Raw genomic sequence first — 19340 nt, forward strand, 5'->3', positions numbered from 1 at the left:
TGTGATGTAATCTTTTCATCCCTCTTTAACAGCTTATCATACAATGCTTTTAATTATTCATACAACTTATTCAACAAGAAGTTACCAAGAACCAGTTCCACTATGGACCCTGTGACAGATGTTCAGGTACAAAGAAGAGTCAAGGCAGCCCTCGTCTCCCTCACAACACAGCTCAGGTAAGGGTAAGAATTGCTCACGTCACAATGCCATGTGATCAGCATGTGTTAAGAAAGTGCTGTGGGCAACTGAAAGACATGGGAAGAAGTGAAATTTCTAAGGGAGAGTGAGAAGAAAGCAAAAGATAGGACCCCAGGCATAGCAAATATGTTGTGAGTAATAACAAGATGGTTGATGTTGAAGACAACATCAGAATAATGGGAGTGGCACGTTTTCTTCACCATCCTTTTATCTCTTTATCTGCATGAAGCCTCTGGTATGAACAGCATGCCTGGAGAACACCTAGTTCCCCCTGCTTTCTTGGCCATTTTGTTACACATCTGGTTATATGAAAGATACCTGTTCGCATCTTCAGCCTACCAGTATCTCAGGGTAATATCTCTTCCCTGCAATGTCTTTATTCTTATTTGTCTGATACTTCCCCAGTCATAATGACATTCCTCTATTTCTTGCCAAAGCTCATTTATACATCATAAAGTTTACTAGGTAAATTAGTTATATAAAATACCAAATGAAATCATACTTATTATTACAAGTTATTGTACAATTTTACAATTTTATAGTAGAATTGTCTTTGTTCAGTAATCTGATTTCTTTTTTTCCATAAGTTATTGGGTACAGGTGGTGTTTGATTACATGAGTAGGCTCTTTAGTGGTGATTTGTGAGATTTTGGTGCACCCATCACCCGAGCAGTATACACTGCACCATATTTATAGGTTTTACCCCTTGCACCCCCTCAAGCTTTCCCCACAGTCCCCAAAGTCCATTGTATCATTCTTATGCCTTTGCATCCCCATAGCTTAGCTCCCACGTATCAGTGAGAACATACAGTGTTTGGGTTTCCATTCCTGAGTTACTTCACTTAGAATAATAGTCTCCAATCTCATCCAGGTCATGGCAAATGCCATTAATTCATCCCTTTTTATGGCTGAGTAGTATTCCAATGTGAGTGTATGTGTGTGTATGCATATATATATATGTGTATATATATGTGTATATATATGTGTATATATGTATATATATATGTGTGTGTGTATATATATGTATGTGTATATATATATATATTACAGTTTCTTTATCCACTCATTGATTGATGGGCATTTTGGTTGATTCCACTATTTTGCAACTGCGAATTGTGCTGCTGTAAACATGTATGTGCAAGTATCTAGTAGTTCTACTACTAAGTATATAGTAGTTATACTTTTAGTTCTTTAGGGAATCTCCACACTGTTTTTCATAGTGCTGTACTAGCTTACATTCCCACCAGCAGTGTAGAAGTGCTCCCTGATCACTGCATCCATGCCAACATCTACTGTTTTTTGATTTTTTGATTATGCCCGTTCTTGCAGGAGTAAGGTGGTATTTCACTGTGGTTTTGATTTGCACTTCCCTGATCATTAGTGATGTTGAGCATTTTTTCATGTGTCTGTTGGCCATGTGTATATCTTTTTTTGAGAATTGTCTATTCATGTATTTAGCCCAATTTTTGACACGATTGTTTGTTTTTTTTCTTACTGATTTGTTTGCGTTCGTTGTAGATTCTGGATATTAGTCCTTTGTTAGATATATAGACTGTGAAGATTTTCTCCCACTCTGTGGGTTGTCTGTTTACTCTGCTGACTGTTCCTTTTGCTGTGTAAAAGCTCTTTAGTTTAATTAGGCCCCAGCTATTTGTCTTTGTTTTTATTGCATTTGCTTTTGGGTTCTTGGTCATAAAAATCCTTGCCTAAGCCAATGTCTAGAAGGGTTTTTCCATTGTTATCTTCTAGAATTTGTATAGGTTCAGGTTTTAGGTTTAAGTCCTTAATCCAGCTTTGAGTTGACTTGAGCTGAGAGATGAGGATCCTGTTCCATTCTCCTTGTAATCTAATTTCACAAAAGAGGAGCTGAAGCCCTTATTGGTAGAACTGATGTTGCATTTCAAAGTCAGCCTGAGTAGCTATCTAAATATCTTTTGCCTACATATCCTGCAGGATCGTTAGAATGAAGATGTGTAAAATGGAAGCTTCCACTTACTTACTATTAACTTGCACCTTTTCTTATTTTCCTAGCTTACTGCACCACATCCCATTCACTCAATCTTCCAGTTCAGAAACCTATAGTTTTCTGTGCATCTATTTCCATCCGTGTCCATGGACAATCATGGTGATGAATTTGTTTCTTCAACATCTTTTCAATAGGACCTTACCTATCCATTCCCCACCATTAGTGACTGTATTGGTCAGAGCTCTCAAGAGAGATAGAACCAATGAAAGATATAGATAGATAGATAGATAGATAGATAGATAGATAGATAGATAGACAGACAGACAGATAAATACATACATACATACATAGATGATGGATGGATAGCTAGATGATAGATAGCTAACTAGATAGATAGATAGATAGATAGATAGATAGATAGATAGATAATAAAAATTTGGCTCACATGATTAGGAGGACTGACAAGTCCCAAGAGCTACAGGGTGATTCAGTGAGCCGGGAGAGCTAATGTTGTAAGCTCCATTCCAAAGGCCAGCAGGCTCCAGACCTGGAAAAGCTGACTTTTCAGTTGGAGTCTGAGGCAGGAGAAAGCTGATGTCCCAGTTCAAAGCAGGATAGGAGGACTTCTTTCTTACTTGGGGGAGGATTGGCATTTTTGTCTTATTCAGGTCTTCAAATGACTAGATGTTTTCCACCCACATTAGAGAGCCAATCCGTTTTACATAATCTATCAAGTCAAATATTCACCTCACTCAAAAAAACTCTCACAGAAACACCCAGAATAATGTTTGTTTAAATGTCTGGGAAACCCATGACCCAGTGGAGTTGACACATGAAATTAACCACCAAAGTGACTTATTTTAGCCTCATTGTTTCTCACCTTATTATTGCAGTCAAACCTTAATTGGCCTCTCTGACATGCCCTTTCTTCCATTCTATCTAGACATAACCTGAGTAATCTTCCTGCATCACAGATTTGATCATGCACCTGTCCTGCTTGGCATCATTCAGTGGCTTCCCATGGCATTCTGTACGCAATAATTAGGAACTTAGCATGACATAAAACATTTCATGACTTGATCCTTCACTTCTTCCCCAGCTTCTTTTTCCTCATATCCTGAAGCATGCTACATTGCAACAGGGCAATGGCACTCACTAACTCGTCCATTCATTCTCCCAATTGTACATTGATCACTGTCTTGCATCACATATGTTTAATTTCTTGGGGAAAAGAATTTCTGCCTTGTGGGGTTGTGGGCTAATAAGAAAGGCAGCTGAGGAAGTAGATACTTAGGACAGAAATAGGTTTCCATGACAGAGCTCAGGATTCAGTAAGGTGCCTTTACAGTCCACAGGCAGGGCACCTAACACCATCTGCGAATGCAGAGAGTCTCAGCAGAGATGCCGTCCAAGCCAAAATTCAAGGATGGGCTTGATTTATGTGGTCAGTAGGGGATAATTCTAACACACATAAGTTCTATGGCTTTGAATAATTACCTACTTGATACAGTTTGAAAGTTTGTCCCCTCCAAATCTCATGTGGATATGTAATCCCAGTGTTGGAGGTGGAGCCTGGTGAGGGGTATTTGGGTCATAGGGGCAAATTCTTCATGAAGGGTTTGTTGCCCTCCCTGTAGTAATGAGTTCACACTGCATCTGGTTATTTAAAAGAGTCTGTCACCTCTGCCTCTCTCTGTTGCTCCCTCTCTCACCCTGTGATGCACTGACTTCCCTTAGTCTACTGTCATGATTGGAAGCTCCCTGAGGTCTCACCAGACACAGATTCCAGCGCCACGCTTCTTGTACAATCTGCAGAACCACGAGCAAAACAAACAAACAAACAAACAAAAACCAAAAAAAAAAAAAAAAAAAAAACCTGCTTTTCTTATAAATTACCCAGCCTTGGGTATTCCTTTACAGAAATGCAAATCGATGCTACCCTTCTCTTAAATCTTGGTTTTCTCATTGTAAAATTATCAGAATAGCAATTGCACTTGTCTTAAAGGCATTTTCTTAGATAAAGGTCAGTGATTAAACAAAATAACCACTTCCTGTTGTGTAGTAAGTTTTCAGCATCCACTGTCTTTTTTAGCAGCAGGAGCAGCAGCAGGGTATTAGTAGCAGCCACAGTTGAGCATCTCCATCTCTCTAAGCCACAATGTCTCCCAGTCCCACAGCACTGCACGCTCCTCCATGCCAATGTGCCTTTGCACACATTAACTTCTCTTCTTTCCTCCTTCCTCCATCTGGACAAATTCTTATTAATTCCTCATGAATCTATACCAACATCACCTTCCAAAAAGCTTTCATATGACCTCCTCTCTTCCAACATAGTTAGAAAACTTTCCCATGGCTCGCAGAGTCCACTGTGAATACCTTTCTCATGCAGTGTTTCACATGGTTCTGGGAAATTTGCAAGGGTCAGAACTAAATTTAATCTTTGAATCTTCAGAATAGGGCCTAGCGCAGCCCATAGTGTGGGTTTAGCAGGTATCTCTTGAATTAATTGGTGTTTGGTTCACTCTAAAGAGTTGATATCAACAATGCACGCTTAGAGGAAAGATATATACAAACATACACATTTACATGCTTATATAAAAATGTGTACCAAAATAGACACACACACACATTTGTTAGAGTATTTATTAGTTATCTAATATATGCAATCCATAAAACCAAACTAACACATTTTTCTAACAAACTTTAAAAGACTAAAAGTATTCAATACAAGTAAACTATCACCATAGGAATATTTAATGAATGTACATCAGGAAGATAAAAATTGATACCAAAGAAAAAGCTGCAATGTCAGAAGAAAATGGGAGTGAACCAAAAAAAAAAAGAAAGAAAAAGAAATGGCAAACATATGGGTAAATATAAACAAACTCTGACTTTACAAAATTAAAATGACAATTACTAATTTTGTGGATTAAAAACACAATGGAATTAAAATAGTGGGCAAGAATAACATTTAAGACACACAAATCAATACTATATAGAACGAATTATCTGAAAAAGCAATTAAATTAAAAAGCAATAATATAAAATAAACTCTAAAAACATGGCAAATTCAAAAATATGTTTTCAAATAATTCATGAGTCAAAGGAAATAATGGAAAATTTAAATAAGGAAAATACAGAGAATACTATATATCAAATTTGTGGGAAGTACTGAAGAAGTTCATAGTGGAAAATTTATAATTCTGGATGTTTTCATTGTAAAAGAAGGGCTGAAAATTGATGAGTTAAGACTCAAATTCAAGAGGTTTGGCTCGGAACAATAAGCTGAAATCAAATAAGTTTAACAAATTAAAAAGTAAAGTTATGCAATAACAAACATGAAGATGCATGTAGCCTTTACCTTATTAACTTCCCTCCAAACACATAACAAATAGAATTCCTCACAGGTATTTTCATGCCTTTCTCAAGCTGAACACCCAGCTGAATCTATATCCATATCTATACCTATATTCTGTTTAGATGACTTGATCCTATGTGTAGAAAATCCTATAGACTTCACCCAAACCCATTAGATCTAATAAATGAATGCAGTAAAGTAGAAGATACAAAACCAACATACAAAAATCAGTTGCATCCCTTTTCCTTTTTTTTTTTTTTTTTAAGACAGAGTCTCACTTTGTCACCTAGGCTGGAATGCAGTGGTACAATCTCAGCTCACTCCAACCTCTGCGTCCGGGGTTCAAGCGATTCTCCTGCCTCAGCCTCCCAACTAGCTGAGATTACAGCTGCCTGCCATCACGCACGGCTAGTTTTTGTATTTTTAATAGAGACGGGGTTTCGCCATGTTGACCAGGCTGGTCTTCAACTCCTGACCTCAAGTGATCTGCCCACCTTGGCCTCCCAAAGTGCTGGGATTACAGGCGTGAGCCACCTAGTTGCATTCCTTACACCCACAATAATCTATCTGAAGAAGAAATCAATAAAACAGTACCACATAGAATATCATCAAAAAGAATAAAATACTTATGAATATATTTAACCAAGAAAGTGAAAAATCTGTACACTAAAAACTATGAAATATTAATGAAAAAATTGAAAGATGAATGGATGAAAATATATTTCATATTTCCAGTTCTAGATCCCTGAGGAATCGCCACACTGACTTCCACAATGGTTGAACTAGTTTACAGTCCCACCAACAGTGTAAAAGTGTTCCTATTTCTTCACATCCTCTCCAGCACCTGTTGTTTCCTGACTTTTTAATGATTGCCATTCTAACTGGTGTGAGATGGTATCTCATTGTGGTTTTGATTTGCATTTCTCTGATGGCCAGTGATGGTGAGCATTTTTTCATGTGTTTTTTGGCTGCATAAATGTCTTCTTTTGAGAAGAGTCTGTTCATGTCCTTTGCCCACTTTTTGATGGGGTTGTTTGTTTTTTTCTTGTAAATTTGTTTGAGTTCTTTGTAGATTCTGGATATTAGCCCTTTGTCAGATGAGTAGGTTGCAAAACGCAGCCATCCCATTACTGGGTATATACCCAAAGGACTATAAATCTTGCTGCTATAAAGACACATGCACACGTATGTTTATTGCGGCATTATTCACAGTAGCAAAGACTTGGAACCAACCCAAATGTCCAACAATGATAGACTGGATTAAGAAAATGTGGCACATATACACCATGGAATACTATGCAGCCATAAAAAATGATGAGTTCATGTCCTTTGTAGGGACATGGATGAAATTGGAAATCATCATTCTCAGTAAACTATCGCAAGAACAAAAAACCAAACACCACATATTCTCACTCATAGGTGGGAATTGAACAATGAGATCACATGGACACAGGAAGGAGAATATCACACTCTGGGGACTGTTGTGGGGTGGGGGGAGGGGAGAGGGATAGCATTGGGAGATATACCTAATGCTAGATGACGAGTTAGTGGGTGCAGTGCACCAGCATGGCACATGTATACATATGTAACTAACCTGCACAATGTGCACATGTACCCTAAAACTTAAAGTATAATAATAAAAAATAAATAAATAAATAAATAAATAAATAAAATATATTTCATATTTATGAATTTTAATAATTAATATTATTAAAGTGCCTATACTACCCAAATAACACACAGATTCATTGTAATCTCTATCAAAATTTGAACAACATTCAACATTTTTTACAAAAGTAGAATTTTTTTTTTTTTGGAAATGGAGTTTTGCTCTTGTTGCCCAGGCTGGCATGCAATGGCATGATCTTGACTCACTACAACCTCCACCTCCCAGTTTCCTGCAATTCTCCTATCTCAGCCTCCTGAGCAGTTGGCGTTATAGGCATGCGCCACTATGCCCAGGTAATTTTTTGTATTTTCAGTAGAGACAGGATTTCTCCATGTTGGTCAGACAGGTCTCAAACTTCCAACCTCAGGTGATCCACCTGGCTTGGTCTCACAGGCATGAGCCACCACACCCTGCCAGAAAAGAAAATTTTTAACTGTATGTGGAATTACAAAATAACCGAAGAAATCCTGAGAAAGTAAAACAAAGTTGGAGACCTCCCATTTTCTAATTTCAAATTATATTTAAAAGCTATATTAACCAACACAGTATGGTACTGAAATAAAAACAAAAACATAGACCTATGGAACAGAGTAGAGAGCCCAGAAATAAACCCAAGAATATATAGTCAACTAATTTTTGACAAGCCTACCAAGAAGACACAACGGTGAAATGGCAGTCTCTTCAATAGATGCTATTGGGAAAACTGGAAACTGGATATCCATATGCAAAAGAATAAAATTAGACCCTTATTTTACACCATACACAAAAATCAACTCAAAGTGGAATAAAGACCTAAGCACAAGACCTGAAATCATAAAACTCCTGGAATAAAACATAAGGGAAAATCTCCTTAATTATGATTTTTGGGATATATCACCAAAAGCTCAGGCAGCAAAAATGAAAATAAATAAGTGGAACCACATCAAACTAAAAAGCTTCTCCAAAGCAAAGGAAAAAAATTGTAAACAAAAAGGCAGCCTATGGATTGAGAGAAAAATTTTGCAAATGATATATCTGATAAAGGCCTAATAACCAAAATATAAAAAGAATTCCCACAACTTCACAGGAAAAAACAACAACCTGATTAAAAAATGAACAAAGGATCCAAATAGACATTTTTCTAAAGAAGACATAAAAATGACCAACAGATATATGCAAAGGTGCTTAACATCTCTAATCACCAGAAAAATACAAATCAAAACCACAATGAGATACTAGCTCACACCTATTCAGATGACGGCCATCAAAAGATGAAAGCTAACAGGTTTTGGAGAGGGTGTAGAGAAAAGGAAGTCCTTTTACACTGTTGGTGGGAACGTAAATCGGTGCAGCCTTTATGGAAAACAGGATGGAGATATCCCAAAAAACTAAAAATAGAACTCTCACATGGTTCAGCCATTCGTCTTCTGGGTATACACTCAAAGGAAATAAAATCAGCACCTCATAAGATATCTGCATCCCCACATTCACTGCAGCATTACTCACAATAGCCAAGATATGGAAACAACCTAAGTGTACATCTATAGGTGAATAAATAAATCATGGTTTATATATACCATGGAATATTACACAGCCTTAAAAAGTAGATCCTCTCATTGCTACAACATTGATGGACCTGGAGGACATTGTGCTAAGTGAAATAAGCTAGTTATATACAAGAAAGTACTGTGTAATCTCACACATACATGACTTTTTTTAAAAAGTTGAACACAAAAAGTGGAGAATAAAAATAGTGATTACCAGGTGTGAGGAGGGGGAGAAAATGGGGTGATGTAGGTCATTGTGTACGGACTTGCAGCTATGTGGGATGAATAGGTCTAGAGGTCTGCTGTGGGGTATGTGAATTATAATTAACAATATTATTATATTGTGTGCTGAAAACTTGCTAAGGGAGTGAGATAATGGATGCATTAATTTGCCTGACAGTAGTGATCATTTCACTCTCTGCATATGTACCAAAATATCATACTATACACCTTAAACACATACAATAAAGAATGACCTAGAAAGGCAAAGATTATTTTAGAAATAAAACAAATAAAATATTTTATATACTTGTAAGTGTACAAAAATCTAATTATTATGTTACATTGTGTGTGTCTGTGTGTGTGTGTGTGTGTGTGTGTGTGTCTGTGTGTGACAGCTTTACTTAGCAGCACTTTAGATATTTTGAGGTCATCAAAGACCAGGAGCATCATTAATAACTTGGCTTCCCGTATCAGTCTTTGGTAATAAAAGCACATAGTCTGCTCATCAAGGGACATAATATTCCTGGTGGACTCTGAGGGACCCCACACTCTGGCCTCAGATGGGGCATGGTACCCATGTGGTTTCCCATTATAGGAGGGGCATGGCCAGAAGAAAGCTTCATGAGGAGGAAATGAGGCTGGATAAAAGAACAACTGTCTGACCCTGAAACTTAATAGAGACAAAAGGAATGTTCAGCCTTGACTTCAACCTATTAGCTGTCCTATATGCAGAAGCTGGAAGGGATGGTAGATACTCTGCGGGATTTCAAGGTCACAACTGGACTTAATAATACCAGTGACCATGGGGTTGTGATGAAACATGAGGGGACAGAGAAAGGGGTATTTCAGATCTATATGCTCAAGCTTCAAGACCCTGGAAAAATTACTTAGTCTGAGCCTCTGTTACCTCTTCTTCCTAAAAGAAAAATGACTTCTTATTTTGAAGGTTTGTTTGGAGACTTGCATGAGATTATCTATAAAGTTCTTAGCACAGACACTGGCCCAGAGCAATGTCCAATGTACCCTCCCTGAATCTCAGTAAGAACAACTTTATGAATTTAGTTTCTACCTGTACAACAGTGAAATCAACTCTTTGAAAGCTGGTAAGATTACTGTTAATAACCAGGCTCAAAATGCCTTTACGTCCAGGCCATTCTTAAAAGACTTTATAACCTTGTAAAAAAATCATTTAAATGCCTATATTTTATAGCAAGACCACATGGAAAAAATATTCAAACAAGAAAGATCTGTACTCTTCTCATCTCTTAAAATTTACTTTCTCCTTGGGAATCCCTTACTAACTACTGCTGTCATCAATGAAAAACAAGCTGAATTCAGTAAATAATGCTCTTTTGTTCAGCACTCCAGACCAGGGGTTCTCACCCTTGGTGCTATTGACATTTGAGGCTGGATAATTATTTGTTGTCCAACCCTCTAGATACCACCCATCCTTCTCTTCTAGACAGGACAAGAAAAAATGTTTCTAGACATTACTAATTTCTCCTCTTCCCCAGTTGAGAACCACTGCTCTAGCTTGGCAGAAACTCATACCTTTTCCCTTAATTCCCATCCAAGACTAGGTTGAAAATGTGAGATTTTACTAAAGATTTATTTAAAATGATAGAAGTCAAAAAGAGCAATGTGAGATTGAGTTAATACATTTTAAAATGCATACAGTTGATTCAATCTCATTTTGAGTTATCCTACAAGTTCAGGGAAGGAGTCAATCTCAACCTGCTCCATGGAGTAGAGGTCGTGTGTCCTCCATGCAGAGCACCCTCATGGACCTCAGACCCACTCCCAAACATCTGAGCAGGAACCAGAATGAGAGAGTGTTTCCTATTCCACTTGTTATCACTTTCAAATTTTCATCTCTTGATGAAGAGATTGACTGATCTTTGATGGTCAACATCAGGAACTTCTACCTGCTTCATAGAAATTCCACTTTATTCACCTTTTATTCCAGATTTCAGTGGGACAAATACTTGCAGACACAAAGGGATAGGCCAACATTCCTTTAAGAAACACAAAATGCTGCCTAAACAATGACAAGGCAAGGAGGGAGATTGTTTCCCTAGAGAATCTCAAACCCTATGCTGCTATCTTGGAAAAAAATAATACTGATAATAAAATGTAATTCAATTGAAATTTTAAAAACAATGGCTCATCTTTTTTGTCTTTCCAAAAGAGAATATAAAGGCATTTGAAGTTATATAGAGCACTGCTGGTATACAAACAAAGTAAATGCATCACGTCAAATGCCTTTTCTTTAATACAAAACTTTCACTATCTATCTAGAGGAAATAATTTTACCATTACTGTATATGCTAGCAATATGGTTTAGCAATTAAATTATTATAAAATGTCTTGAATCCTGCTGAGATAGTTAAAGTTCATGGATGTAGCCCTATCACAATATTGATCATTTGGAAATCTCAGTCTCACAAGGCCCTTCATTATTTCTATTCACCACATGGGAAAGATTATACTAATAAGTGGAGACTGATTTACTTCCTACAGAAAATACAAATTCTGTCTTTTCACTGCAGTTTTTTCTCAAATAGTTAATCATTTTAGAGACCCTGTTGTACTGTATTGCAAGTTGTATCTTTTAATTTTATTTCTCATATTATGCAGGAAATGGCCATTCTTTAATGAAACAACAAATATGAAAATGTATTAATCCTTTTATTGCATTTTAAAAATATAACATATTTAAGTTTGTGATAGCAAACATATTGAAGCCATTAGAAGCTAAATTACCCAAATGCCTTTCAAATAAACTGCTCGGAAGACTTTGATCCTGTTAGCTGACTGCTCAATGACAGCAAGACAGCTTACTCTTCTGATTGCTTTGAGGAAGTTTGTGCCATTCCCTCACATGCTCAGTTGCCTGGGAGCCAGATTGGGAGCAGAAGACAATTAAGAAGCCCAGTAAGAAATACTCAGGCTACTTTATAAACCCAACATTCAGTGAGACAAAAAAAAAAAAAAAAAAAGCTTTTGGATGGAGGCTTTAGTTTAGTGTGCTGAATCAGACAACTTCTCTTTATTATTGCCAAATCATTTTATTCCAAAAAAAAAAGTTCAGAAAAACATCGTGAATAACCTTAAAACCTAGATAACATAAATGTTCCTGGGGAAGGCAAGTCTAAGACACTCACTGATCTTCCCTTCCTGGTGTGCCCTTGCTCCTGCACTCCCTCAGGGTCCTCACGCTGGCTCTAAAATACCCAGGGCCCCCCATACCAATCCCCCAGAAACCTCATCCTAGGCAGCCCCTGAATCTTTCACTCCATTTCATCTTCCTGCTTCTCATCCCAACCAAAAAACTGTAGTCCTTTTCTTTCTGTCTCTCGGAATCCTCTTAGAATGTCTAGGACTACTCCAACAAATCATGTCAAACCCAAAGTTAATGACAATACTATATTAATCTGTAGGCTAAATTCACGATGAGGATTGCAAATCCTGAGGCAGGAGGGTAGAAAGAGATCACACTGAAGGGGCTCCATAAAGGACACCAGGTGGTAAACCTGCACCTGCCTCTGGGTAGCATATGGACATGGACAGTCGGCAAAGCCCACAACTAAAGCATGCAGCATGCCTGTGAGAGAGCTGTGAATCAACACAGCCTCACACGGCTGTAGTCAGGGCTGCAGTTTATCATTTGTCTGCAATATCATGTCATGAGATGCTCACTAACATTCTACAGAGAGTCAGAACAATGCTCTTCATAATGGAACTCACTTCCAGTGGGCACCGCATCACACGAGGATATTCAGTTGCTTGTCTTTTATGAAGCAAATGTAAACTGTGTTGGGGGGGAGTGACAGCAATGCTATAATTCAGCCGTCTGCTGTTTTATCACAGCTCTCAGTAGCTCTCTAATGAATATTTCTGTATGCATGTTTCTGACTGATAATCAAACTCAGAACAAGTCCTAATTGGGTTTTCCAGTGCATGGAAAAGTGCCTGTATTAGCTTTGCAGATGTCCCACTAATGTTAAATTAAAAGTACAAACCTAGAAAGCTAAAAGAAAAAGAAAAAAAAAAGTCTACTTTGATTGGGCCTTAAACATATACAGAGAACAGAATTTTATGGACATTCACATCTCCAGACAGCATTTAAATGTGGCCTGTCCAAAAAAGGAAAAGTCAGCAAAATGCCTGGCATGAGGGCCTCGTATTTGATGACTAGGAAGTTCCTTGCTGGAGCATTTCAACTTGTACATAGAGAGCTGGGAAGTTGAAAGATAATCAGAAATTTGAACGGAAAAAATCACTAGTTACATTTAACTGAAATATTGTGTAGCTGCATTAGTTGCTACTTTTTAAATCACTAATATTATCCGTCAACTTCTCACTCTCAGTAGCAGCCTCTACCTTCCACTACAGGACTTTAAAGGTGTTTAGAAACCCCTTTCTGAAAGGTATTTAGAAAACCTTAAATATTAAGGAAGAGAAAAATAAAAATTATCATCTCACCTTGGCCTTTATTGTGCCTTTTATATAAATTCGTGGTAATACCTATCATGCTTTTAATACATTTGTTTGCCTGCTTATCTTCTGTGGAAGAAAAGCAGGAAATAGTTTCATTGTCTTTATATTTCATTTTTAACGCATTGTCTGGCCAATAGCACCTCCTCACAAAATGTTTGCTAAAAATTGAGTTAACAATTAAATTAAAACATAAATTCACTTTTAGATTTATTAAATTTTATTAAATTTTTTAAAGTCTGATAACATTGATATGTCTGATTTGTTTATTAATATTGTCAATTCTCAGCCTAAGAGAATCTTCAATGACATGTTTCATGCTCTTTTTTATGAATGTGGAATTTGAAGTCCAGTGAACATGGAATATTTATGAACAGCCACACAGCATGGAACTAGAATTCCACATTTCTCCCTGACTGCCCAGTGCCTGTGAGGAGGATGAACCACGGGTCTGGTTCATTCTCTAGTTGGCAAGTCCATCAAAGCTGTAAGATGGGTCTATTATGTGGACATGTCCCAGTATCTGCGAACACCAAGATTGTAAGCTCGTGCTTCCCTTTCTAACTGAGGTCAGTCATAACAAGCCTGAAAAGTGGGGGAGGTCAGTATGGCAAACACACATACTCTTATTGTTTACTCAAAAAAAGTATTGAATTTGTTTACTTGGAAGACATTTCATTTGCTCTCTAAACCTTCCATTAACAAGAATCTTTATTTCACTATCTTAGTCCCTTTTGTGCTGCCACAACAGAATGTCACAGACTAATTAATAAAGAACAGAAGTCTATTCCTCCTGGCCCTGCAGGCTGGGCAGTGCAAGATCAAGGTGCTGGCACCCGGCAGGGGCCCTGTGCTGCATCGTCTCATGGTGGAGGACAAATGGGCAAACAAGCACTCAGTGAGCAAGTGCAGGCAAGAGGCAGCCAAACTCACTTTTATCAGGAATTGACTCCCGCAATAATATTGGTCCAGTGATGAGGCAGAGCCCTCAAAGCCTCATCTCCTCTTAAGGGTCCCACCTCTCAGCACTGTTGCACTGGAGATTAAGTTCCCCACACATGAACTGTGGCTGACACATTCAAACCATAGCATTCATCTTTACCCCAAACACTTGAAAAGCAAACACTGCTCAAGCAGACATCCAAGGCTCTCCTGTTCCAACTTCCCTGGTTGCCCTCCAATTTTATCCTTAGATATTTGCAGATCTTCAGCCAAACCAGAGGCAGAGACATTGTGTTTGTGGAACTCCTGCCAAGCCTCCTTGTCCTCTGAACCGCTGCTCACATCATGTCTGCTCTGCAAAGCCTCTGACCATGGCCTCAGCCCCCTCTCGAGAGGCTGTGTCCATTCTTTCCCACTAGTGACTCCTCACTCCAAGCAGGTTTTCTGGAACCTTAAGCTGAGCATAACCTCACTTGCTTCTGAGTATTCTTTTTTTTTTTAGATGGAGTCTCGCTCTGTTGCCCAGGCTGGAGTACAGTGGTGCAATCTCGGCTCACTGCGAGCTCCGCCTCCCGGGTTCATGCTGTGGTGGTGGTTTTGAATCACTCTTAGGATATTTTTCCTCTGGGATGCTTGCATTTTTTTTTTTAATTTGGGAATTTGTCTTCATCTTTGCCAATAAATTATAAAATCTTTACAGACTGGAAGAGTGTTATATATTTATCTATGCAGGAGTGATTATTTGAATTATTTAAAAAATGTTTTTACAAGAACACTGATCCACGTAAGACAGCTCCTGGCCAAACTGACCAAATGATGAGACCACAGAACCGAGTCCTGCCAGCTGACCCCAAACCTGCCCCTCAGCCTCAGAGGGTCTAGCACAGTATACTTCTACAGCAAATCATAGACTACATACAGGTATTTGTCATCAACTATATACAAGGCAATCTAATGTGGGTTGACATGGCTGCCAAAGATGAAAGATTATGTGGGACTCGCTCTGGTCTTTAACTGTGTCCTGATTTTATATTTTATAATTTATATCAGCACATGAGCTGGTGCCTGCTTTTCTATTTAAAAAATACTCCTAATGAAACAATGCCTTCTAATGTGCTTAAGGCCAGTGGAGGACAGGAAGGTCATGAGAGGATGATAAGCTAATGGAGACACTGTTCAGAAGGCCTGGACCCTGGGTCCACTCTGAGGGACGCTCCCATCATGTGGATGCTTCTTCATAGGCAAGGGCAGAGCTCCAAGGAGCACCTCCTCCTCACCTTCTGCACGTAGTGGGGGAGATCGCCGGTACCAACATCCTTGGAGTGGAGCTGAAGACTTTTTGAAGCTGTTCATGCCAGCTCATGGAGCTCTTCATGCCACACTGGCTGTTCATGCCAAGTGTGAGTCAGGCATTACTTGAGCTGCATCATCCAGGCCAGAGACATGCGGCTGAGGTGGGTCCAACCTATTCTCATTCAATGTGAAGATGTCAGCTTGCATTGCTCCTCCATGCCCACACACATAGCTAGGCCTCTGTTAAACACCGCACAAAAAGAGAGTCTAGAACTCTTTTGATAGGAACACATTACTTCACAAATAAACATAGTATTTTTTCTTGAATGGCAGACGAGGAAGGCAATAATACGGCAGTAAATAAGACACAGGAGAGTCGTGAGGGCGGTGGCTTGGTGGGAAGGATTCCCTGGACCCCATGCAGTTTGCCTTCCTGCCGAAGCTTGGAAAGTGACTTAGGTGGCAAGGGCCCTATGATGGTCAGCTCTGTGTGTCAATTTGACTGGACCATAGGATGCCCAGATAGCTGGTAAGACATTATTACTGAGGGTGCCTGTGAGGGTGTTTCTGGAAGAGATTGGTATTTTAATGAGTAAATGGAGTAAAGACCATTGACCTTGCCAATATAAGTAGGCATCATAAAATACATCAAGGGCTGGAATAGAATAAAAATGTGTAGAAGAGTAAATGCTCGCCCTGAGCTGGGACATCCATCTTCTCTTGCCCTTGGGCTTCAGTGTTCCTGGTTCTCAGAACTCTGGGTTTAGACAAGAACTCCACCACTGGCTTTCCTGGCCCTCCGGTTTGCAGATGGCAGATCATGGGACTTCTCAGCCTCCATAAGTGCACAAGTCCATCCCTTACAATAGATTTCTTTCTCTATAGCTCCATGTATTTGTACATCCTATTGATTTGCTTTTTATGGAGAGCTCTGACTAATGCAAACCCCTCTTAGCACTGTTTTCTTTAATTTGGGCAATGCACATTATACCCCAGTCCTAAGTTTCTATAACTGGAAATAGTTATCATATCTGGGTATCTTATAAAGCTTTCTGAATGATAAATTTAAATTTAAACAATTTTTATTATTGCTTCTTGCAGAAACAGAAAAATGCCTTGTCTTCATATCAAATAGTTTTAAAATGCTTTAAAAGGATATACATATATAATATGCCAGCCTTTATTAAATTTCTCCCTGTACTTTGTTGAATAGCAAGAATTTTAGAATGAAATAGTGTATATGAAAGTTAATTAAAACATCTTTTCTATTACATAGAATAGATGTCTTTATCCAGAATATTTATAAAATTTCTCAGTAAGAGGGACAAATTATATTCCAAATCACCCCCGCTTTGATCGTGGTTAGTTATTAGTAATTCATAGAACTGCTCTAATTCTTGTCAGCTTCAAGAGGGACTCCACAATGCATCCCAGTGTGAGATGCAGATTAAAAGCCTAAACCAGCTTCTCATTGATTTCTCTGTACTTAGAAGATGTATTTCCAGTTGCTTCATCAATGTCTTCAGTATCAAAATCTAACTATTCACTTCCAGCATTAATTTTAGATATAGATCACATCCTATATGCTGTGGTGTTCCTGAATATGCATGTCTTTGTCTGAAGTCAGAGGTGTTGGTCCCAGCTATCGTGCTGGCAAGAGCTTGGGTTACTGGAGTAAATCGGTTTGGAAGCTGCTTAACAGCCACGTTTCCCCCAGCTGAGAGCATTTTCTTATCAGCTTCTCCCACCCACATCTAATTCATACTGATCCATTTCAGGAGATAAACCTTGCATACATAGATCTACCCTGTGAATGAGACTCTTTGATGAAAGCATATTCAAATTTGCTAACATTACGTGCAAGAAAGAAAACCTGCAGAAAAGTTAGCTCAAAGAGGAACATAAGTCTCTAGAATGGCAGAGAGAAAATAACATATTGTCAGCAAAACATGGAGAAGGAGTTCATTTTCTGCCTGACGGATAGATTATACAGTGTTCTGTCTCTGATGAGAGCTTTGAGTACTGAAGGCACAAATCTACTCAGCCTTGGCAAGTGTCAGGAATCTTAGCTTTCTCAGTCCCATGACCACAAACTGCATACCCATCAGTAGCCAGTATTTCTCAATGCCTGCCCTTGCTGGTCATGAAAGACATGATTTCCCAAACTTACCACACCCTGGTGCACATAAACAAATTATAGTATTTTTATTAAGCACCAGGTCAGCAGGGGGAGCTGGCTGTCTCCAAGGACAGAGAAGTCAATACTTCAGGCATAACTTAATCTTTCCTTCTACATCCATGTGTAGAGACACACCAAATTATGAACTCTAGGGAGTATGACTTAATGAATTTGTGTAAAGCCAATATAGCTTCTGAGAAAATAACTTAAATCAAGTACCTGGGTTTCAGAAGTGCTTAAATGTTTCTTGATATAGGAGGATGGTAATTGCCCATCCTTAGCTTTTTCATCACAACTGCCCAAACTCATGTGATTGCATCAATGGGAAAGCTACGTCTGAACAACAAGTGCCAGCCCAAGACAGCCCTGCTGATACTTGGGGCAATCCCCTTTTCCCATTATTATCTCCTTGAGCAATGGACCACACCATGGTGCCTATTTCAGGTCTTTATCTTGCAACTGCCACAGAGTGAGGCTTATCTGTTCTAGGCAATGCACCGTATGAGACAGCAAATTAATGAAGGGGCTGAAATCTATTTGTTCTCCAGGCTGTGACCCTCATGTGTTCAACCTTTACTGTCTGCCCACCTTCGCTTGCTTGGACAGCTTCGTGGCAAGAGGTTCTCTTCACCACCAGCTATGATTCCTTCCACTTTCCCTCCAATCAACATCCTCTTCTGATCTCACAGGTAAGAGGGAAGGTAAAGTGCCTCAGGCAAGAAAACCATTCTGTCCGCTTCCTGCTGGAGGAATTTACGTTTCATCACAATGAAAAGAGAACTGGTAAGCAATACTTTTGCTGTTTGTTGGTTTAGAGAAAGATGACCAGTGACATTAGAAAATGAGAAATTGTAGCTGAGCTCTCACTTATGAGTGAGAACATACTCACTCATGATGTTTGGTTTTCCATTCCTAAGTTACTTCACTTAGGACAGGACCCACAAATGTCCTCTTGTATAGAAATGCAAATGATCCTGCTGCTTAACTTTGAACAATTCTCAAGCTTCATTGAAAAGATATGTCACTACATCTCCCCAGGAGGTCTCTGTAAAGTCCTTGGTGCTTATTACCTTGACCCAAAGTTCTGTCTTTTTGTTCTGGTTTCACCTTCAGGCCCAGAGGCCTCCTGAACTTTCACAGTGATAATTCAGCTTTTCTTCTGTTCCACTTTAAATGACTATGTTTAAGCTACATGCATGTTTCCATGCAGAATGGGTTCATATTTCAAAGCTGATCTTTGATATGGTTTGGCTGGGTCCCCACCCAAATCTTATCTTGAATTCCCAGGTGTTGTGGGAGGGACCTGGTGGGACATAATTGAATCATGGGGGCGGGTCTTTCCTTTGCTGTTCTCATGATAGTGAATAAGTCTCACGAGATCTGATGGTTGTAAAAATGGGAGTATCCTTGAACAAGCCCTCTTCTCTTGTCTGCTGCCAAGTGAGATGTGTCTTTTATCTTCTGCCGTGAATGTGAGGCATCCCCAGCCA

General features: G+C 38.8%; 1 long non-coding RNA gene across 1 annotated transcript; it reads left to right on the forward strand.

The window, feature by feature from the left end:
- Positions 1 to 274: 274 nt before the first annotated feature.
- LOC105373398 (uncharacterized) lies at positions 275 to 18627 on the forward strand. Its single transcript, XR_001739179.1, has 3 exons — positions 275 to 329; positions 428 to 549; positions 18399 to 18627. It is a non-coding gene; the product is annotated as an uncharacterized LOC105373398 (long non-coding RNA).
- Positions 18628 to 19340: the final 713 nt, after the last annotated feature.

Source organism: Homo sapiens, chromosome 2 (genome assembly GCF_000001405.40).
Source record: "Homo sapiens chromosome 2, GRCh38.p14 Primary Assembly".
NCBI lineage: Eukaryota > Metazoa > Chordata > Mammalia > Primates > Hominidae > Homo > Homo sapiens.